Source organism: Homo sapiens, chromosome 2 (genome assembly GCF_000001405.40).
Source record: "Homo sapiens chromosome 2, GRCh38.p14 Primary Assembly".
Lineage (NCBI taxonomy): Eukaryota > Metazoa > Chordata > Mammalia > Primates > Hominidae > Homo > Homo sapiens.
The window spans coordinates 121,193,324-121,216,559 of NC_000002.12; the positions used below are offsets into that span (position 1 = coordinate 121,193,324).

The following is a 23,236-nucleotide window of genomic DNA, read 5'->3' on the forward strand; positions in this document are numbered from 1 at the left end:
GTAACTGTTGGATAAAATAGGATGTAACAACCTTTTTCACTGCAGACCTTCTCAGAGCCTTCAGTATGCTCCTGTGTGGAGTGGCTCTGACAGGAAACTACCATGTACAGCATTTCCCAAACTTATTTGGACACTGACTGTGAAATACAAAGAATATCCATAGACCACAGTTTGGAAAACTCTAAAACAGGTAATACACTTATTCATTCATTCACGTATTCATCCAACAAATATGTGTTTGGCCCTGTGCTGGGCACTGGGGTGGGGCAGTAATTGAAGCAGATGTTGTCCTGCCCTCATGAGCTTACCTTCCACTGGGGGGACAGACCTAATGCCACTTTCTTTCCTTTTTTGTTTTTTTGTTTGTTTTTTCTTTTCTTTTCTTTTCTTTCTTTTTTTTTTTTTTTTTTTTTTGAGACGGAGTCTCGCTCTGTCGCCCAGGCTGGAGTGCAGTGGTGCTATCTCAGCTCACTGCAAGCTCCACCTCCCAGGTTCATGCCATTCTCCTGCCTCAGCCTCCCGAGTAGATGGGACTACAGGCACCTGCCACCACGCCCGGCTAATTTTTTGTTGTTGTATTTTTAGTAGAGATGGGGTTTCACCGTGTTAGCCAGAATGGTCTTGATCTCCTGGCCTCGTGATCCGCCCGTCTCCGCCCCCCAAAGTGCTGGGATTACAGCCTGTTTGTTTTTCTTTTTTTCTTTTTATTATACTTTAAGTCCTAGGGTACATGTGCACAACGTGCAGGTTTGTTACATATGTATACATGTGCCATGTTGGTGTGCTGCACCCATTAACTCGTCATTTACATTAGGTATATCTCCTAATGCTATTCCTCCCCTCTCTCCTCACCCCACAACAGGCCCCATGCAGCTATAAAAAATGATGAGTTCATGTCCTTTGTAGGGACATGGATGAAGCTGGAAACCATCATTCTCAGCAAACTATCGCAAGGACAAAAAACCAAACACTGCATGTTCTCACTCATAGGTAGGAATTGAACAATGAGAACACTTGGACACAGGAAGGGGAACATCACACACCGGGGCCTGTTTGGTTTTTTTTAATGCCACTTTCTTTCATTCATTTACACACTCAATAAATATTGAGTGTTCCGAAGTTCCCAACCCAGTGCCAGACCCTGGAGACAGAATTGAATCGGCTGTGATTGCTGCCCTCAGGAATTTTTAATTAACTAATCTAAGAGACTGTTTCTCTGGAGTAAGGCATAAGTGGCCTGGTTTTTTGCAAAGGAAGCTCCCTTTGCAAACACAAGCCATCCTTCCCCTTTCATTCCTGGGTTAGCCCATCCCTCACACCATAAACCAGGTTGAATTTGGGGTCAAGTTCAACCCTTCATGTGCTGTGAAGGTATTCCACTGGTCTGGGGACAGTGTGGCGGGGGTCTGGCATCCGGCCCTAGGAGCAGCCACAGCAGTGAGGGAGCATTGACCCATGTCATCCCAGGGACCTGATAGCGTTTCCTGCTGCACAGCACCCAAGCCTGGCCTGCAGGCTCTGGGCATCTCTGTAATCCCTTCCAGCAAGATTCAGATGCCTCCAAGCAAGAACCTGCTGCAGGCCGGGCTCCCTGGAAGCAGACTCTGCTTTAGATTAGCATCCGGGACTGTCACTGGGAAGCACTCTGGGACTCCATGTTGGGGTGGGGGATGAAGGTGGGATTGAGTGGAGGGAGAAGTTGGGTTGTGAAGCAGCCTCAGTGGAGGCCTCAGTTGATGCCACAGGCAGCTCTGGAGCTGGCATTGCCCTGAGTTGTCCCAGGTTGGGGCAAGAGACCAAGCCTTTATATCTGCGCATGAGGCTCTTCCACACAGGCACGGGCATCCTCTGAGGAAGAAGATGGCCCTGGGCAATGAAGCTCCCCTCGGCCAAGGCAATTCCTGGAAAGGCTGATGGGCAGCCTCCCAGCAGCTGTGGACTAAGTCCCTCAGTCCTGAAGCAGGACTGGGATGGCTTGTTCCAGCGTCCCCCACAAATGCCGACAGCAAGAGGCAGTCTGGCTAGGGGGAATAGCAACCCTAAAGCTGGTTTTCTCTAAAGCTTTAGAGCCTAGTCCCAACTCCCCACTCCAGCTTACCCCTGGGCAAGCAGCTCTGCCTCTTAGAGGAGCCTCCATTTGCTCAAACCTTGCAGGCTTTAGTGAGGTTAATCATGTCACAGCATTAAGTGAAAGGCTTCCTGGAGGAGGTGACACCTGAGCTGAGTCATGAAAGGAAGTGAAAGGTAGGTGTTGACCCCACAAAGAGGGGAAAGTTGCCCCAGGCAGAGGAGGACACCTGTTGGGACCAGAGGCCTGAGCAGGCTCAAGAGAAGCACCAGCGACTCAGTGTAGCTGCTGTGGAGAGGGAGGGGTGCTTAAGAGATGAGGCAGGATGATGGGCAGGGGCAGATCACAGAGGGCTGGAGGGTCAGGAGAGGGGAGGCTGGCCTCATTCTGCCCTCAGAGGAATCTGCCTTCTATCCTAGTGGCTTCCGGCTTCCATTTGTATGACGCTCACACAAGTTAGGGATGCTCTCAGTGGCTTACTTGTATAAGCTCATTTAACCTTAACAACACTGTTAGGAGGTATGGACTCTTACCAGTTCCATTTTACAGATGAGAACACTGAGGCACGGAGAGGCTCAGTCAGTTGTCCAAGGTCACACAGCTTGTAAGTGGAGCCCAGGCTGTCTGACACCAGAGCACACACTCCTAACCTCTACATTGTTCATCACAGGGGCACCTTTGGGTGGCCCAGGGCTGTGTCCTCTCACCACCCTGATTCTGCTTGACCCAGCCAGGTAGAGCCCTGTGGACGGGGCCCGCCAAACCAAAGCCTTCAAACCCTCCAAACCCTCAAACCCTCAAAGGCAGCTTGTCTTCCAGGGACAATGCCACTGACGCCAAGCCCCAGGGGTTGGGCTATGGGCCAGGGACATGGTTTGGCTCCAGAACATCACAGAGCAATTTGCAACACCTTCCAAATGCAATTGGAGCAGCCAAGAGAGGCAGGTGAGGTGCAGCCCTTACGTGCACCTCAGGTGTATGGCTGGGTGTCGGGTTACCCCAAGGGCAGAGGAAAAGCCTTGGCAGGAGATGAGGGCTGCAGCCAGACCCCTGTCCCCTGCCCACACACCCACATTCCCTCCTGCCTTACGCATTGCTCAGACCCCCACACCCAGTGTAGCCCGGCAGTCCTAGCTACGACCTCCTGCAGCCCCAGCTGCAGCTCCCGCCTCTCACCTCCTTAGCCCCAGTAATTCCACGTGCAGGGGTCTCCTTCCCAACTGGTGTACACTCAGGAGGGGAACACCCATCACCTGCGGCACGCTGGGCTCTGGGGCATAACTCTGGAGGGCTTAAAGACCTCACGTAAGACTACAACGCTTCCCAAGGCTCTGCTGCACGCTAGGTGCCGACTTTGGGGCTTATCTTCCTCATAGCCTCGGCAAACATCAACTGAACACACCTGTGTGCCGTTGGCCTGGGCAGGAGCATTGAGGTGAATCGGGCCCAGGCCTGCTCTCAAGGCACTCACTGGTAAGCACGGGCCTCCTCGCAGCTGGGGGAAATAGTGCCCGGGAGCCATGGGCCTTACCCACAAAGAGACTTAGGGGCCAGTGAGTGATGGAACCAGGCTTGCGTTGGGCCCGCTTTGGGCAAAACACCTCCCATCCCACCTGGAGCTCCTGCCACAATCTACAAGACAGGAGGCAGCCAGACACAGTGGCTCATGCCTATAATCCCAGCACTTTGGGAGGCCGAGGCAGGCGAATCACCTGAGGTCAGGAGTTTCACCCTGGCCAACATGGTGAAACCCCGTCTCTACTAAAAATACAAAAATTAGCTGGGCGTGGTGTCAGGCACCTGTGATCCCAGCTACTCGGGAGGCTGCAGCAGGAGAGTCGCTTGAACCCTGGAGGCGGAGGTTGCAGTGAGCCAAGCTCGTGCCACTGCACTCCAGCCTGGGCGACAGGGTGAGATTCGGTCACCTAAAAAAAAAAAAAAAAGACAGGAGGCTCAGAGAGGACCGCATCTTGCCTGAGCTCACAAGCCAGCCACGGCTGAATTCAAACCGAGCTGTGAATAACTCCGAGTCCACGTGCCCCGGGAACACCAAGCTGAGAGGAGAACAGTGCTGGAACAAGAGACCAGCTCGGGGGTGACACGGAAGGAGCAGGCCTTGGAGAAGAGTGGTGACTCACTGGGACACTTCGTGGTTACAAAACAGGCCAGGCTCCTGCCAGACACTCACACTCGGTTACTTTTCTTTTAATTCCTTCCCTGCCCTTCCACTCCCTGTTCCCTGGGCACAGTAAGTACATTCTGTTCTTCCTGAACTTCTCACTGAACAGGGCAACTCGATTCTTCTCCCATGGACTGAGGGCCCTTGGCCGACTGGAATCACGGGTGCCAGGCCAGGGCATCAGGAAGGACACAAGAGGGACCAGCCTGTTCTGGCCAGCCTGCCAATCTGCCGGCTCCCCAGTGCTTTGGGGTCAAGTTCAACCCTCAACTAAGTCCCAGGCCTTTGAGATGAGCTTACTCTGCAATCTCGTGTCCCCTACCCCTCTCGGGTACCAGCACGGAAGTGCTGACCAACCCTGCATACTCACTGGCCACCCCACACCCCCGGCCTGCCCACGCCACACCTCACCAGTGTTGACCAGAGGAGTTCCTCAAAATAAAATCCAAATTAGCTAATAGTGTTATTGCAATTTCCTAACATGAATTATGGTACTGCGGTTATGTTAAAGGGTGTCCACATTTTTAGGAAACACTCACTGAAATATTCAGAGGTAAAAGGGCTTCCTGTCTGCAACTTACTCTGAAATATTTTAGAAAAAAATGTATTAAGAGAATGAGAGAGAGGGCCGGGTACGGTGGCTCACGCCTGTAATCCCAGCACTTTGGGAGGCCAAGGTGGGCGGATCACAAGGTCAGGAGATCGAGACCATCCTGGAACACAGAGAAACCCCGTCTCTACTAAAAATACAAAAAATTAGCCGGGCGTGGTGGCGGACGCCTATAGTCCCAGCTACTCGGGAGGCTGAGGCAGGAGAATGGCGTGAACCTGGCAGGCGGAGCTTGCAGTGAGCCGAGATAGCGCCACTGCACTCCAGCCTGGGCGACAGAGTGAGACTCTGAATAAAAAAAAAAAGAGAGAGAATGAGAGAGAGATGGGGAGAAAAAGCAACTGTGGTAAAACATGAACATTTTAAGGAGTTCGAATTGTATCAGAAATAATTTGTACTATTTTGGTAACTTTTCTGTAAGTTTGAAATTATTTCTAAAATTTACAGCTGGGTGTGGTGGCTCATGCATGCCCCCGCTTTGGAAAGCTGAGGAGGGAGAGATCCCTTGAGCCCAGGAGCTGGAGGTTACAGTGACCTGTGACCGCACTCCAGCCCGGGTGAGAGAGCGAGACCCCGTCTCTAAAAAATATAAAATTAAAATTAAGTTACAAAAACTTGGGAGGAAAATAAATTTTAAAACCCCACTAACCTCAAGCCTCATCTCCAGGAAGTGCCCCAGACCCCTGAGGCTGGGATGAGGGGTCCTATGGTGTTGTGACAACTATCTTGGTTTTCGCCCACAGTTCCTGGCTCATAACCCCCACAGCCATCGTTACAGGCTTGGGTTATGGTGTTGGGTGTCTAAGGCCTCAGGGGCAGGCCCTTGACCTTCTCCTGCCCTCCCTTCACGCCTGTGTCCCCTGCCTTTCTGACTGTGGGTCTTAAGACCACAGTCTTACCCTGGGGGAAGGAATGCTGATGTCATGAGGCTTCCATAAAAACCCAAGAGGACAGGGTTCAGGGAGCTTCCAGGCAGTTGAACACATGGAGAACGCTGGAGGGTGGTGCCCCAGGGCAGGCATGGAACCCCCACACCCCTCCGCCATACCCTGCCCTATGCGTCTCTTCACCTGTATCCTTTGCAATATCCTTTATAATAAAACAGTAAACGTAAGTGTCTCCCTGAGTTTTGTGAGCCGCTCCAGCAAATTACTCAAACCCAAAGAGGGGGTCATGGGAACCCCAACTTGAAGTCAGTATGTCAGAAGTTCCGGAGGCCTGGACTTGTGACTGGTGGAGGTGGGGGGCAGGGGCAGTCTTGGGGACTGAGCCCTCCACTTGTGGGGTCTCACACTATCTCCAGGTAGGGAGTCAGAATTCGAGGACCCCCAGCTGGAGTCCGCTGCTTGGTGTGTGGAAAACCCCCGCACATCTGATCACAGAAGTATTCTGTGTTGATGATTGTTGAAGAGAGTTTTCTCCACACGGTTCCCTTCCAGACATGCCCCATCCCCTCACCACTGCATGCCCCCATCACACCTTGTCTCCATGTCCTGTTTGCTTGCCACTTTAGGAGTGAGTGCCCTGGAGGATGGGACAGTGTCTCCTTCCGATCTGTGATCTGGGTGATACGACACCTCTAGCTCTGTGCTCAGTTCTCTACAGCAAGACATGGACCCAGGCAGCACTGGGTGCCAGGTGCCACTCTAGGCCTGGAGAATGCAGTGATGGAGATTCACCCAGCCCCCACCTAGTGCAGCTGACCTTCCAGGAGAACCTGGAGCTGGGGACAGGAAGAAGGTCAAAGCTGGGGCTGCAGGCCTCCTTCCCATGGTGTCTCCTACACTGCAGTCCAGCCATTTCCCACTCCTTCCGGGGCTCCACATAGCCGAGGGCTCCACTTGTGGCTTGCTGTCATCCCCCCCAGCCTCTTGCCTCACACGTGCCCTCCGTGACTTCATCTGACACAGAGACCCTGACCCGCCTGAGCCCTGGCCTTCCCTCTCAGCATGTTTCCAGCTGCCAGTGGGCCAGGCGACAGGGAAGGGATGGCTTTGAGGCCTCAAGGCTCTGGCCGGTGGGCCTTGGGGTGGGGCAGGGTGTGGCACTCCAGGGAGGCTGGCCAGGATGAGCATTGCGGCTGTGGGCTCCTGCAGCTCCTGAGCCGCTGTGTGTTGCTGTAGAGTCCTGAACTCAGAGCTAGCAGTGCCGTGGGGACCCTGCTGTGCAGGCTTACAGTTGCCCTCATTGCTCCAGTGGCTCTGTGTGCGTCTCTGCTCCCTGCCTTTGAAGGACCTTGCAACTTGCCTAAGACAGGGTGCAAAGTGTGAAGAAATGGGGGGCCAGACCGAGTTGTCAAAGAACGCTTCAGCAGAGGGAGACTTCAGCTGAGCCTTGAAGGAGGAGGGAGAGGCAGGCAGATGGAGCACATTCCAGGCAGAAGACTTCCCCAATCGATGAAGGATGTCCTGGAGAAATGCTCAGCGTGCCCTGGCCACAGTGAGAAGACGACTGATTCGTGAGCTCCGGTATCAACAGAAGATGCTGTTTCAGACCCAAGAGGCTGAGCAGATGGCAGAATGGCAGCCTCCAGCAGGGACACAGGGCCAGGATCTATTCTCGAGTTGCTACCAGAGAGCCGGGGCTGGAGGGCCCTCCCTGCTTCCTTTGAAAGACACCCATGCCCCTGGTCTGGAGGGAAGTTACCTGGGCCCTCTGCCCCCAGTACGATGTGACATTCTAGCTACCCAGTGGCTATGATTAAAGGCCAAGAATGAGCTCAGCCATGGAACTCAGTGGTGGCCCCTGCTACCACCTCCACCCTGCCAGGACTGTCTTCCCCCAGTCACACACCTCACCCCCAAAACACAGGATCTCTTTTCTTCCCTGCGGTCATAGCCAAGATCAGCTACAGGCAAGATGCTCTGCTCAGTGCACTTGGGGCCTCCCACCCTGCTGGCTGTTGGCAAAAGGCGCTTTCAGAGGCTCCTCATGCAAGGATTAGGAGCCAAAGCTGGGAGGAAGGAAGGTGAGTCAGACAGACCTGTGTTCCAAGTCTGACCCTCCATGATTTTTGACCTTGAGTGAGCCTTAGAATTCAATCACCTCCTTGGCAGAAATGGACATAAAGATATCTGCACTGCAAAGTCACTCATGAGCATGAGTCCTAACGCACCCCAGATGCCCGGCCTGGTGCCCGGCACAGGGAGCCTCCAGACAGATGGCAGCCATTCCTCATTTTCAGAGGATTTGTTGTGTTCCCAGGTTGGTTGTTTTCCATAATTATCTTCACCAGCCAGGAGTCCCTTGAGCCAAGGATGGTGTCTTGCTTGTGCCTGGGCTCCAGGGCTAAGCACTGCTCCTGGTACATGGGAAGTGCCTGGTATCTGTGCATGAGTGTCCTTACAGGCCAGAGTGTCACCCACCTTCAGATCTGCATTGGGGCAATTTCTAGGGGAGCCTGACTCTGCTGGTCTCTGCCTGATCCTGCCTGGGAACTGGCTGGGAACAGTCTTGGCTTTGCCCTGCCCTGGACCCCTTGCTGGGCCCTGGATCCCTGTGGATGACTTCTCCAGGCTTCACCCCAGGCTCTACCTCCCATTCAGCAGGAGCTGAAAAAGAAAAAAGAAAACAGTCTATGGGAGTCAGAGCCAGAGTCTCCCTGCTAGATCAGCTTGAACTTTGAGTCCACTTTCTCTTCAAGAGGGAAAGAATGAATGAAAGGGACAGATGAAGGAGGAAGGTAGAAGTAGGTGAAGCACAGAACTGGCCTCCCAAGTGCATCTGCAATAGAGGGGCAGGGATGGTCACCAGAAGGTGCCATCTCTGGAGAGGGGTGAGCACCCCTTCCTGGGAGGTGGCCTGAGTGCTGACACAGAGCTGACCAGCCGGGAGGTGTGTACATGGCACCTACATGGACACAGTCTCTGGACAACCTGTAGATCTGCAGCCAGTCCCAAAGCAAGGGAGCAGGAGTAGGTGTCAAGGATGGAGTACGTTCTGCAGGGAGCCCAGCAGCAGGAAGTGGGACCATGCTGGGCGCACCCCTGATAACTTACCTTCCTTCTCCTCTGCTTCCTCATCTGAAAATGAGTGTAATAACACCCACCTTGCAAAGCCATCATGAGGGTTTTCTGGGAGAATGGATATAAAGCACCTAGCAGGCCAGGCGCAGTGGCTCACGTCTGTAATCCCAGCACTTTGGGAGGCTGGGGCAGGTGGATCACCTGAGGTCAGGAGTTTGTGACCAGCCTAGCCAACATGGTGAAACCCCGTCTCTACTAAAAATACAAAAAAAAAAAAAAAAATTAGCCGGGTGTGGTGGTGCACGCTTGCAGTCCCAGGGGAGTGTCAAGCACCACTGCTGGGGCAAGCTGGGGGCCATGAGGGCCATGAGGGCCAGGGAAGGGTTCATTACCCCACTTGGGCTCGGAGGAGGTCAGCAGGGTACCCTGAGGCAGGAACGAGAGAACTGAAGAATGAAAGCCAGAAGGCAGCACAGTCAAGGTGGCATTGGATGCATCTGGGAGGGATCAAGGAGGGAAGGCAGTCCCAAGCAGGAGAGCCATGTGATCGAGCCTTCCCATGCCAGTGCGGTGCCTTGCGCTGTTTATGAGTCAGTGCACTGAAACCAGGCAACCATCCTGGGGAGGCAGGAATAATTATCCTTACTCAATGGACTCAGAAGTGAGGCCCAGGGAAGTGGTTGAGGGGAGATCCACCAGAGTCCCTCCTTGCACCAGCTGGCCCAGGTGTGAGCTGAAAGGCCTCATGGCTGGGCAGCTGAGTGCTGCCTCCTAAGGCTGGCTCATAGGGCTGGGCATCAGGTGGCAGGAGGCCAGAAAGGCAAAGGTCCACTTCTGTTCCCACCTATTGTGAGGCCTCCTCATTTTTCTGAGCTCTCAGCCAGAGTGGCTTTGATGGGGAAGGACAATGGGGAGGCCATTCTGGCCCCTGCCTGGCGTGACTGCCTGGCTCTGCAGTGGAGTTGGGCTCCCAGGGGAGGATGCTGCATCACCTGCTCGTGCCGGCACTAGGAACAGGGACTCACAATTAAGTGTCACCAACACCAGTTTGTTGGTGAACCTGGAAGACAGGCCGGTGGGTAAAGAGAGAAGGCAGAAGGTGCCCTGGATCCAAAGGCGCTGCCCGCTCCAGCTGGTGGCACTCCAAGGGCAGGTCCTTCCTCTGAAGGGTGACACACTTCATTTCCTGAGCGTTTCTGCCTCTTTTTTTAAGCCTGTCCTATTTTGAAATGTAATACACATATGGAAAAGGGCACAAAACAAGCACACAGCTCAATGACTTATCACAAAGCAAAGCCCCAAGAAGTCACCACCCAGCTCCAGAAATAACACATTTTGGTCTTCCAGAACCTGGCTGGCCTTCCCTTCCCCAGAGCTAACCACTCCGCTGACATTCATGCTAATCGCGTGCTTGCCTTTCCATATGACTACCACCTCGGCGTCCTTAGCAGCTGCAGAGGCTGTTCCATCACATTTTGCGTTCTCTCTGGTTCCTTTCCATCGCTCTCCTGTCAGATACACATCCATATTGTGTGGGGCTATCATGCGCTGGTTACTGGAACTTCTTCACTGATGTTTACATCCAGAGTGTTGGTGAGGCTTTTCTGGAGCCCACTGGCTGCCTCCAGTCCCAGCCCTGGCACGTCCTCACTGCAGGGCACTGAGCAAGTTCCTGAACCTCCTACCCTTGAGGAATGTTGGTCATCAGCTGCTCTCCAGGATCTCCCAGTGTTCCCTGACACAGAGCTCCTAAAGCCCTTAGAATTTCCTGGGTGATGGGAGCATCTTTTGTTCCAACGAGGTGACTCTTGGGGGACTTCTGGACAGGGCTGGTCACCAGAAAGACCAAGCCCTGATTAGAAGCTTGGCGTTTTCAGCCCTAGGGCCATCCTCCAGGGAGGAAAGAGGAACTTGAGATTGAGTTAATAATCAACCACACCTACACAATGAAGCCTCCATAAACATCCCTGAGGGCCCGGCACAGTGGCTCACACCCGTAATCCCAGCACTTTGGGAGGCCGAAGCGGGTGCATCACCTGTGGTCAGGAGTTCAAGACCAGCCTGGCCAACATGGTGAAACCCCATCTCTACTAAAAATACAAAAATTAGCCCAGTGTGGTGGCGCATGCCTGTAATCCCAGCTACTCAGGAGGCTGAAGCAGGAGAATTGCTTGAACTCGGGAGGTGGAGGTTGCCACGAGCTGAGATCGCGCCATTGCACTCCAGCCTGGCGACAGAGTGAGACTCCATCTTGAAAAACAACAAAAAACAAACAAAAAAAACACATCCCTAAGGCACGAGGGTTAGAGCTTTTGGGTTGGTGAGCACCAACTCCAGGGGGACAGAAGCTCCTGCCCTTGGGACGATTCCGGGCCTTGCTCTATGTACTTTTAAAAATCTGGCTGTGATCTGTGTCCATTATCATACTCTTTATCAGAGGATAAACTAGTAAATCTAAGCTTCTCTGAGTTCTGTGAACCATAATAGCAAATTATTGAACTTGAGGATGGAATGGTGGGAACCCGCATTTTATGGCCAAGTTACACAGAACTATGGGTAAGGGCCAGACGCAGTGGCTCACACCTATAATCTCAGCACTTTGGAAGGCTGAGGTGGGCAGATTACTTGAGTCCAGGAGTTCAAGAGCAGCCTGGGCAACAATGGTGAAACTCCATCTCTACAAAAAATACAAAAATGTGCTAGGCATGGTGGCACATGCCTACAGTCCCAGCTGCTTGGGCAGCTGAGGCAGAAGAATCACTTGAACCCAGGAGGTAAAGGTTGCAGTGAGCCAAGTCGTGCCACAGCACCGCAGCCTGAGTGACAGAGTGAGACTCTATCTTCAAAATTTTTTTTTTTTTAAAAAAAAGGCTGGGCACGGTGGCTCATGCCTATAATCCCAGCACTTTGGGAGGCCGAGGTGGGGAGATCACAAGGTCAAGAGTACGAGACCAGCCTGGCCAACATGGTGAAACCCTGTCTCTACTAAAAATACAAAAATTAGCCGGGCATGGTGGCGCGCGCCTATAGTCCCGGCTACTTAGGAGGCTGAGGCAAGAGAATTGCTTGAACCCAGGAGGCAGAGGTTGCAGTGAGCCGAGAGTGTGCCACTGCACTCCAGACTGTGCACTCCAGACAGAGTAAGACTCTGTCTCAAAAAGAAACAAACAAACAAACAAAGCGAAGTAAGGGTAAGCTGGGACCCACTACTTCCAGTTGACATCTGATGGGTTCCTTCTTAGCCTGATGGGCCACCAAGTCACCGGATGCCCTTAAGCATGTTGCTTCCTTTCTGCGGGCCTCAGTTTCCCCAGCAGCTACAGCAGAAGAGGTTAGAGCAGCTCTGAGCTTTCCCACCGTGGTCCACACAGCCCTGGGTCCTCAGTTCCGCCCATGCCAATCTGGCCCTTCAGAGCAGCTCTTGGTTCTGAATGTGCTGCTACATTCTATTTCCTTCAAAGCAGGTTTGGCATGGCAAGTTTGAAGACCACAGGCCTGGATTTCCAGGGTTCCCTGCAGCGTTGATTCTCTAGGCCTGCGTGACTTGGAGTCTGGCTGGAATTCAGCCAAGATGCCACAGCTATGTCACATAGGAGCCATGTCCTCTCGCCCAGTCTCCATCCACTCTGTGCCAGAGACTCAGGACTGAAACTGGAGCCTCAGCCCTGGCTGACAGTGGGCCTCTGTGTGCAGCGCAGCCCCTGGCCACCCCCAGGCCCGGGCTCTGTTTTATATACAAACACCCATGGTGGGTCATAGGAAACCTGCAGGCCAATTTTGTCTTTCCAATAACAATGCACTTTTTTTCTTAAAGGCATCGATGCACATTCTTAGGTTTGTGAGGCAAATAGAGGCCATAAGAAGAATCTGGAGGAGGTGGGAGACAACAGTCACCCCCTCTTAACTCCTGGGTCACACCCAACAGCTAGGCTTGGGGGAGCCAATCACCCTGCCAATCACCCTGCACCACCCCACACAGCAGCGCCTGGCACACCACAGTGTGAGCTCAGAATGACAATTGGTTTAAAAAAAAAAAGAATGAATAAATATGCAGGACCCCTAAAAATCAGCCCACTTTTGACCTTTTCTTTTCCTTCCTTCCTTCCTCCCTCCCTCCCTCCCTCCCTTCCTTTCTTCTCCTAAAAATCAGCCCACTTTGGACCTTTTCTTTCTTTAACCTTTCTTTCTTCCTTCTCTTTTTTTTTTTTTTTTTTTAAGAATTGATATGAGGTCTTGCTGTGTTGCCCAGGCTGGTTTTGAACTCCTGGCCTTCCAGCAATCCTCTTGCCTCAGCCTCCCAAAATGATACAATTACAGGCGTGAGCCACAGGGCCTGGCCGGTAAACTCCTTTCTTCAGCAACTTAATGAACCTCTCCTGGTTTAAATTTCCTGCTTCTGAAAGTAGTGCTGATACTGGTGTCTAAACAGGGCTATAGTGAGGATTGGTATCTACAGATTAAGGACAAAGCCTGGCACAGAGGGGACACCATAGGCGTCGGCAATTTCTTTTTTCACTTATTCCAGCTGGCTTTTATTTATTTATGTCTTAAATGTCATTGTGGCAGAGAAGGCTGGACCTATAGCTAGACCGCATTTCCCAACCACCCAACCAGGCTGTTGGGTACGACCTGTGACTGCGCTGCCCAAGGTCATCCAAGCAGAAGTGAGGGCGCCATTTCCAAGCTGGTCCCCAAAACCTCTCCTCCCAGGGTCCCCATTGTCCCTTCCTCTGGCAGGAGCAAAGGCTCTAAGGCCCTAGAAAATGGCAGAACGGGCCAGGCGCGGTGGCTTATGCCTTTAATCACAGCACTTTGGGAGGCCAAGGCGGGCGGATCACGAGGTCAGGAGATCGAGACCATCCTGGCTAACATGGTGAAACCCCATCTCTACTAAAAATACAAAAAATTAGCCGGGCATGGTGGCAGGCGCCTGTAGTTCCAGCTACTCGGGAGGCTGAGGCAGGAGATGGCATGAACCCGGGAGGCGGAGCTTGCAGTGAGCCGAGATGGCGCCACTGCACTCCAGCCAGGGTGACAGAGAAAAATTCCGTCTCAAAAAAAAAAAAAAAACCACACAAAAATGGCAGAACCACTAGATGGAAGGAACCTGGGTCCCTGAATGACCATGTGGGAGGCGGCCCTGGGCGCCCACATGGGCCTGAGATGTGAAGGGGAGATAAACCTTTATTATGTTAAGCCATGGGCGTTTGGGGCTTGTTTTTGCAGTGGCCAATATTACTTACCTAATATGGCCAAGATATGAGAATATTGTATTTTAATTCAATCTTCTCAGGATATTTCCAACTTAATATCTGTTTCTAAAAATGCTTACCTTAGCGGTGTTATTCTATGTTCTTGGGAGTCTTCTTTTTAATGTCATCTTCTTTTGAATACTTTACAGACAGTGTAGTCGGTCTTCAGACCCAGTTCAAACTCTTAAGTCACTAGCAACAAATAAAACAGTACCCACAACACTACTTAGAACACATGGTCTGCCCAAGGCCCTCATGGCCCCTTCCTAAAGTCAAAGTCAGATTAATTTCAAAACAGAGACACCCCTCCCTTCTGGGGCGTGCAGGAGCAGCGTGCTTTGAAACAGACAAGTCAGCCAGAGCTGGCGGCTCAAGAGTCAGGCTGAAGCCAAAGGGATGCTGGCAGAACACCTCACAGCAGGGAGGACAGGGTTTGCCTCTACTCCCTCCGTTACTCCTCAGCTGGGAGCTCTTACAGCCCCAAGGAAAAAGCAGAGTTCTCCCTGAAGGTCATTTCCAGGAGTCTAGTCCTGCGGACAGTGGCTTTCCACAGAATGACAGTAGCCATAAGGGGGACTTCTAGGCCAGAAAAGCTCCAAGCAGCCTGACCAATACACCTTCAATATCTGTTCATTTAGAATATATACATATATTTATTCATCTTCATTTGTCTGAAGTAGGTATGACTAGTCCCCCCTACCTTTTTTTTTTTTTTTTTGAGATGGAGTTTAGCTCTTGTTGCCCAGGCTGGAGTGCAGTGGCACGATCTTGACTCACCGCAACCTTCGCTTCCCGGGTTCAAGTGATTCTCCTGCCTCAGCCTCCCAAGTAGCTGGGATTAGAGGCATGCGCCACCACACCTGGCTAATTTTGTATTTTTAGTAGAGATGGAGTTTCTCCATGTTGGTCAGGCTGGTCCTAGTCCCCATTTTTTTTAAAAAAAGAGACTTTAGGGAGATTAAATGGCAAACAGTCGGCCAGATGCAGTGGCTCACAGCTGTAATCCCAGCACCTTGGGAGGCCAAGGCAGGTGGATTGCTTGAGACCAGCTTGGGCAACATAGTGAAACTTTGTCTCTACCAAAAATACAAAAAAAAAAAAAAATAGCCGGGTGTGGTGGCACACACTTGTAGTCCCAGCTACTTGAGAGGCTGAGGTAGGAAGATCACCTGAGCCCAGGGAGGTTGAGGCTGCAGTGAGCTGAAATCACATCACTGCATTTTAGCCTGGGTGACAGAGTGAGACCCTGTCTCAAAAAAAAAAAAAGAAAAAGAAAAAAGAAAACAGCCTATGGGGGTCAGAGCCAGGGTCTCCCTGCTAGATCAGCTGGAACTCTGAGTCCACTTTCTCTTCAAGAGGGAAAGAATGAATGAAAGGGACAGATGAAGGAGGAAGGTGGAAGGAGGTGAAGCACAGAACTGGCCTCCCAAGTCCATCCACAATAGAGGGGCAGGGACGGTCAGCAGAAGGTGCTGGAGAGGGGTGAGCACCTCACCTGAGAGGAGGTGGCCTGAGTATTGGGGCAGAACCCTGGAGCCCAGCAGCCCACGGCAGCCCAGAGGAAGAGCTGCATCTGCAGGTACCCGGGGACAGGCTTCCTTTCCTAGGGCCCACATTCCAGAGGGCAGCAGCAGGGCCAGCAGAGGGGACAGTTGCAGCTGTGGGGAAGATGCCCATGCAGGGACTGTAAACGAGTTGGGGCTCAGGATCCCCTGGCTGGGGCTGGGCTGTGAGCTGAAGACTTAAACCAAGCCAGCCCCCTGGCCGCATATCCCACCCCTCCCCGTCCCAGAGAGGCAAGCGGGCGCAGCACTGGGAAGGAGGAGGCGGTTCTAGCTCACCCCTTTCCACAGGCCCCAAGGGCACAGCTGGGTCAGGGCTGAGGTGGAGAGGGGACAAGCATGGTATGTAGCTTGTCTCAAAGGCACGCTTCCCCATGGGCAGGAAGAACTGCCGGGAGGGGCATCTCCCAAGCTACCTAGATATCCTGGCATCCGCCTTCCCAGCCAGGAGCAGCACCTTATCCGGATGCATTTGCTCCCCAGCATCAGCCTCCCCGCAGCCACATGGGACGGTGGCACAGTCTTTGGAGCTGACGGACCTGGGTCAGAAGCCTGACTTTGCCCCCTGACTAGCTGTGTGTCCCTGAAGAAGCTGCCCAGATTCTCTGAGCCTCAGTCTCCTCACAGGCAAAGCAGAGACTTTAACAACTGCCTGAAAAGGTGCTGTGAGTGCAGATGAGATAATAGGGAGGAAAAACTTTTCCTGTGTCCTCTTATGTTCAGTGACTAGGGGCCTGCGAATTAAACTGACAAAAGATAGATTCGCTAGAGAAAAAAGATGGATTTTTATTCTCATACCTATGAGGGAGTTTCACAGAAAAATGTGACTCAGTTCAAGGCTGCAGCGAGCTATGATCCACCGCACTACAGCCTGGGTGACAAAGTGAGAAACTGTCTCAAAAAAAAAAAAAAGAAAAAGAAGAAGAAGATAAAGGAAAAAGAAAAAAAAGAAAGAAATGTTAAAAATAAAAAATAAAAAAAAAGAAAAGAGAAAAAAGGAGAAAAGGATAAAACAAGTATAAATAAAAAGAAAAATGTGGCCAGGCGTGGTGGCTCACACCTGTAATCCCAGCACTTTGAGAGGCCGAGGTGGATAGATCACCTGAGGCCAGGCGTTCACAACCATCCTGGCCAATATGACGAAAGCCCATCTCTACTAAAAATACAAAAATTAGCTGGACGCAGTGGCGGGTGCCTGTAATCCCAGCTACTTGGGAGGCTGAGGCAGGAGAATTGCTTGAGATGGAGGTTGCAGTGAGCCGAGATGGTGCCACTGCACTCCAGCCTGGGTGACAGAGTGAGACTCTGTCTCAAAAAAGAAAAGAAAAGAAAAATGCAACTCAAGGAGGTGGTTATAATTTGGGACTTATATACCATGTTAATAGGGGAAGAGGGAAGAGAAGGACCATTTTACTTTTAGGAAAGATAAATGGCCCCTAGGAGAACAGATGGCAGCTAGGACAGTTTTGCAACTATGTCTGTTCTGGTGATTTCTTATCTTGGTGCCAGTGCTGACTTCTTGAATTCTTGTATTTGGTGATAGGAGTCCATCTCTCTGGTTTTGAAAGTTCCAGGGAAAGGATTTCTGGCAGCTGAATTCTTTTGGGAGCCTCTGCTTTTAGGCAGATTAAGGGGAATAAAAAAATAAAAAAATAAAAAAATAAACCAGAAAACCCTCTTCAGTGTGGTACATCCTGGATCCCTTCAGACAAGGCACGGGCAATACCTGGCTGGGGGAGCCCCTCACAGGCCTCCTCCTGCCGGCCCACACCACATCCCTGTGCCCATGTTTGTCCTCTTCCCAATCCCTACTGCCCCATCCGAACTCACTGTCCTCTGTCCCCATTCTCTCTGTGCTAAGGTGACACGTCACCATATAGCAGCTTGCCCCCTGCCGGCACAGGCTCCCTTCACCGCTGCTTTCAGGTCCCAGTCCCTCGTTTGCCCAGCACCTCTTGCTATCTCTTACTCATTCAACAAACACTCCTAGCAGGCTTCTCCCTGCCAGGCCCTGGGCTGGATTCCAGAGTGGCAGCGATCAGGCAGACCAAACTCTGTCTCTAGGAGCTCCTCCCAGTGGGAGAGGCGGACAGAAAGATGGACAGTTACAGCCTAGGCACAGGAGCCCATGGGAGCTCAGAGGAAGAGCCCAGAGGAAGAGTAAGGCCCAGCAAGTTCTGTGAGCTGTTGGTGCCAGGAAAGAGCTGGGCCTGCCCCTGATACTCAAAAAGCATATGTGAACAAAGGGAATGGAGGGAGAGGAGGAGAAAGAAGGGATGACAGGAGGAAGGGAGGGAAGTTGGTCGATTTTCCTCATCCACCTTTCTCCTCTCTGGACTAGTGTTTGGGGCCAGCTCCTCCCCCACTCCAATGTCAACCTCTGGGCTTATCAGATATTTCAATAGCTGCTCTGGCCTGATAAGCCCTCTCCAGATAACCCCTTTCTCTTGTAATTGAGTTTAAATATTGTTCCACCCAATCAAGGCAGGTTAATATTCAACCCAACCTAGCTCTGGAAGCCTCCTGGCCACCAGATTCTTCCCTGGGCGAGGCAACCTGGGGCTGAGCAGGGCTGGAGCAAGCAGGGCGTGCAGTCTTCCCCCAAAGCATGTTTATCAGAGGGTTTGGGAATGGGGGGCGGGAGGGGACTGTCTAGACCTGGGTCCGCCCCTGGTGGGTCCAAGGAACAGTGTCCAAGCCAAGCCTAAGGGCCTGCGCTTCCTGGCTGGAGGACCAGGGGAAAGCCAGCTTTGTTCCAGCAGAGGCTCAGCTGGGAGAACCTGCCCAGACACCCTTCCCTTGAGGATTCTGCTTTGCACCTTAGAGTGTCCTCAGGCTGCCAGGATCCTCCAGAGCCATATGGCTGATTTCCTCCTCTCACCCACAGGAGTGATTCCCTCAGGCTCCTCAGGGTTTGGTCCTCGTGAGTCAGCCTCCCAGGGCCTATCCTGTCTGACACACTCCAGGTGGAATCTTCAGCCTACCCGGTAGAGGCCCAAACAGTGCATGCACCTGCTTCCCACTGGTGACTTTCACGGGTCTTCCATGTGGACAGCCCCAGTCAGCGATGTGGGAGCCGCCACAGCCCAGGACTTCCAGAAGCAGAAGCGCTGAGTGTGGCTACTCACCTGACCCAGGGCAGAGAGTGGGGTCGAGAGCCAGTGGCATCCACACCTGTACCCGGGAGGCCCCTCTGGTTCCGTGTGTGTGTGTGTGTCTGTGTGCATGTGTGTGTGTGTGTCTGTTGGGGGGTGGGAGGGTCATCAACAGGTTTCACTACTCAAATCATCTTCCCCTACAGGGAGGCGCAGAGGATCCCATAGCTACCAGCCAGCTGTCAGGCTCTGGGTCACCTTTGTGTCATTGGACCCTAACATTCTCTAGTCCCCCTCTGTCCCACCCCACCCGAGTGAGTCACTATCCCTCTTGGAGGTTCCTCCCCAGAAAGAGAGGGCAGGTGCCTCCAGGCCAGCAGCAACAGCCCCCGGGGGAACCTGTTAGGAATGCACATTCTCAGACCCGCACCCCACCACTGAATGGGAGACTGCGGGCGGGGAACCCCCGCAGTGCAGTGCAGGTGGCTTTCCGGCCCTCCTGAAGATTCCGATGCACTGGGACACCACCCAGCCACTACAAGCCATGAATAAAAGCCTCCTGCCTCTCACCGCTTTAATATGTGCCGGGGCCATTCCAAGCTCTTGAAGTAAATTCAGCTCATTTACTCGTTATAATCGTCCTGCGAGGCAGGCACGAGTATTAGTCCTCGTGGACTAATTTTACGGATGAGGCAAGCAAAACAGAAAAGTTAGGCGACCTTGGGCAAGGTCACACAGCCGGAGGCTGAATGAGAAGCTAGGCAGTTCTCCGCTACATCAGGGGCTCCCGAAGTGTGGTCCCTGGACAAACGGTGTTAGCATCACCTGGGGACTTCTTAGAAATACAAATTCCCAGGCCCCCGATCAGACCCACCGAGCCGAGGGCCCAGCCATCTTTAGAACAAGCCCTCCAGTTTCAGAACCACAGTGCTGCACCCCGCTGCCTGAAGAGACATCCTGGGAAATAGCCGGAAAGCCTCACGCCCGCATCATGGCTGGGGGGGAGGGGGGTGGTTTGCTGGAAATAGACCACGTTGCAGGGCGGCTGCCGGCTCCTGCCCACCGGGAGGCCGAGGACAGCGACCCGAGCCGCACCTGCGCTGGGGCCTGCCGAGCTCTCGCAGTTTGAATGGAAAGGAAGAAGCCTTTGCTGTGGGCCCATGCTGCTCTGGGCCTCGGCTGCTGCGAGGTGCTGCCGAGTTCACACCATCCCACTCTTGTGTCCTAGCTCACCTCTAGTTTCTCTGTTGGGGCAGAGGCTGTGCAGGCGGATGGGGCAGCCAGCAGCCATACCAGAAGGAAAGACGGTGGTACAGGGGAACTCTTGGGCCCTGAGCTTGCCAGGCTCCCTAGTTCCACTCTGAGCTCTTGAACCCAATCCCGTTGCTATTGACTGAATGCTTGTGTTCCCTCCCCCGCTTCCGATGTTGAAGCCTAACCTCCAAGGTGATGGTACATGCAGGTGGGGCCTTTGGGAGGTATGAGGCCATGAGGGTGGAGCCCGCATGAATGGGGTTAATGCCCTTGTAAAAGAGGCCCTAGGGAGCTTGTTTGCCCCTTCCTAGGAGGCAGGCCCTCTCCAGCCTCTGGATCTGCCAGCGCCTTGACCTTGGACACCTCACCTTCAGAACGGACAGAAATACCTTTCTGTTGTTTATAAGCCACCTAGTTTACTTATGGCATTCTGTTACAGCAGCTCGCATGGGCTAAGACAGCCATCACGTACCCTCTCAGCCTAAGGACCTGCCACGCTGTTTCCCACTGCACTTAGAACACAGACCGGACCCTCCTGCTCCCATATGGTCTGCAACGCCCTGTGTCAGGAGAGTCAAAGCATAGGGCACAGCCCACCAGCAGGCCAGAAGGTCAGCTCCACAGGTCAAGATCTGCATTCCTCAAGAAAAAATGACATGGACTAGTCCAAGTATTGTTTTGTGAAACTCATTAATATGCGCGTGTGTACTGGGAACACTGAAAACTCTGAGGATCATTCCGTTATCTGGCCCGATCCCCTCCTCCTCTGACCTCCCCTGGCATCATCCTCCTTCAGCAACAATGCCCTTCTTCAGGATCCTGGAACACCCAGCCGTTTCCCAGCTCAGAGGCCCTGCCAGTGCTGTTCCACATTTCCCCAGGAGCCTCGTCCTGTGCCCGGCCTTTTGCTCCCTGTCTCGTGTACATGGTCTCATTTCAGCCCCACAAACTTGCAAGGCAGGTGGTATTTCTATTTCACAGATGAGAATAGGAATCGGGGAGGTTAAGTAGCCTGCTCAAAATCATACGGACCCAGGATTCCAACCCAAGGCCTTGAAGGCCCTCCCACTGTGCACACCCTCTGCTCCTCTCACAGGGACGTGCAGGCAACTTGAGAGGAGAGGGGGGCTTTACCAGTGCGGGGTGGGAGGAGCGCCATCCGTGGGGCTTGGAAGTCTGGGGAGATCACGGGCAGCAGGCATGGCGGAGCCACAGCTCTGGGCGCCATGGGCACACATGATCAGAATGGACGCTGGAGACAGAAGAGCTTGGGAAAGTTGTGGTCAGGGTAGGAAGGTTTCAGAGCAGGGTAGGGGGCTGGTAGGGAGGCCTGTGGGTGGCTCATGGGCTACAGCCCTGGTCCTGGTAAGAGATAAGAGACTGGGGTGGCAGCGCTGCAAACGTGCTGACCAGCATTCAGCCAGCCCACCCACTGATCAAACTTCAAACACCTGAAGCCTCCAGTTACAATGGCTATTATTAAAAAACAAAGACAAAAAAAAAAAACCCAGGAAAATAATAGGTGTTGGCAAGGAGTAATTGGAACCGTTGTGCACTGTTGGAGGGAATGTAAAATGGTGCAGCCCCTGTGGAAAATAGGATGGTAGTTCCTCAAAAAATTAAACATGGAATTGACCCAGCAATCCCACTTTTGAGCATTACCCAAAAGAACTGAAAGCAGGGACATGAAGAGCTGTTTGGTCACACCTATGTGCATAGCAGCATCATTCACAATAGCTAAACATGGAAGCAACCAAAATGTCCACTGAAGGATGAGTGGATAAACAAAATGTGGGCTATCCATACAACAGTATTATTCATCCTTAAAAAGGAAGGAGAGTCTGGCCGGTGTCTCACGTCCATAATCCCAACACTTTGGGAGGCCGAGGAGGGCAGATCACCTGAGGTCAGGACTTCGAGACCAACCTGGCCAACATGGCGAAACACAATTTCTACTAAAAATACAAAATCTAGCTGGGCATGGCTACAAAAATACAAAATACAAAAATACAAAAATGGGCATGGCTACAAAAATACAAAAGTTAGCCGGGCATGGTGGCAGGCACCTGTAATCCCAGCTACTTGGGAGGCTGAGGCAGGAGAATCGTTTGAATCTGGGAGGCGGAGATTGCAGTGAGCAGAGATCATGCCATCTCACTCCAGCCTGGGCAACAGAGCAAGACTGTCTCAAAACCAAAAAGAAAAAAGTAAATTCTGAGACATGCTACAATATGGATGAACCTTGAGGACACCCCGGTCACAGGCCAAATACTATATGATTCCACTTTTATGATGTCCCTCATAGAGTCAGAAATGAGAAAAGCCGTTGCTAGGGGCTGGGACTAGGGTTGATACGGTTTGGACGTGTCCCTTCCAAATCTCAAGTTGAAATGTGACCTCCAACGTAGTAGGTGGGCCTCATAGGAGGTGTTTGGGTCACGGGGGCAAATCCCTCATGAATGGCTTAATGCTGTCCTCATAATGAGTGAGTCCTCTCTGAGTTCACACGAGATCTGATTAAAAGAGCCTAGCGCCTTCTCCCTCTTTCTTGTTCCCTCTCTCACCCTGTGACATGCTGGCTCTCTCCTTCACCTTCCGCCACGACTGTAAGCTTCCTGAGGCCCTTACCAGAAGCAGATGCTGAGGCCATGTACAGCCTGCAGAAGCATGAGCCAAATCTCTTTATAAATTACCCAGTATCAGGTATTCCTTGTAGCAATGCAAATGGACTAACACTGGGGGACGGGAAGTTAGTGTTTAATGGGTAAAAAGGTTCGGTTTTGCAAGATGAAAAGAATTCTGGGCTGGGCGTGGTGGCTCACACCTGTAATCTCAGCATTTATAGGCATCAGCCACTGTGCTTGAGGTGGGCAGATTGCTTGAGGCCAAGAGTTCAATATCAGCCTGGGCAACATGGTGAAACCCCGTCTCTACAAAATACAAACAAATTAGCTGGGCATGGTGGCACGCGCCTGTAGTCCCAGCTACTTGGGAGGTTGAGTTAGGAGAATCACCTGAGCCTGGGGAGGTCGAGGCTGCAGTGAGCAGTGATCATGCGACTGCACTCCAGCCTGGGTGACAGAGCAAGACCCTGTCTCAACAAAAAATTAAGAATTCTGGAGAGGGATGGTGTGATGGTTGCACAACAATGTGAGTGTACTTAATACCGCTGACATGTACAATTCAAATAGTGAAGACGGTAAATTTTATGTTTTGTATATTTTACCAGAATCTAACAAACAAAAAAGCAA

At 52.4% G+C, this 23,236-nt stretch overlaps 4 annotated features.

Annotated features, from left to right (window-relative positions):
- Positions 3,654 to 4,552: an enhancer, noted in NCBI's record as "H3K4me1 hESC enhancer chr2:121954553-121955451 (GRCh37/hg19 assembly coordinates)". NCBI's record gives its function as "activates a minimal SCP1, AML or CMV promoter by ChIP-STARR-seq in primed H9 embryonic stem cells {active_cell/tissue: H9 hESC(primed)}" and the evidence as "EXISTENCE:reporter gene assay evidence [ECO:0000049][PMID:30033119]".
- Positions 6,398 to 6,899: an enhancer, noted in NCBI's record as "H3K4me1 hESC enhancer chr2:121957297-121957798 (GRCh37/hg19 assembly coordinates)". NCBI's record gives its function as "activates a minimal SCP1, AML or CMV promoter by ChIP-STARR-seq in primed H9 embryonic stem cells {active_cell/tissue: H9 hESC(primed)}" and the evidence as "EXISTENCE:reporter gene assay evidence [ECO:0000049][PMID:30033119]".
- Positions 6,900 to 7,399: an enhancer, noted in NCBI's record as "H3K4me1 hESC enhancer chr2:121957799-121958298 (GRCh37/hg19 assembly coordinates)". NCBI's record gives its function as "activates a minimal SCP1, AML or CMV promoter by ChIP-STARR-seq in primed H9 embryonic stem cells {active_cell/tissue: H9 hESC(primed)}" and the evidence as "EXISTENCE:reporter gene assay evidence [ECO:0000049][PMID:30033119]".
- Positions 21,178 to 21,678: an enhancer, noted in NCBI's record as "H3K4me1 hESC enhancer chr2:121972077-121972577 (GRCh37/hg19 assembly coordinates)". NCBI's record gives its function as "activates a minimal SCP1, AML or CMV promoter by ChIP-STARR-seq in naive H9 embryonic stem cells {active_cell/tissue: H9 hESC(naive)}" and the evidence as "EXISTENCE:reporter gene assay evidence [ECO:0000049][PMID:30033119]".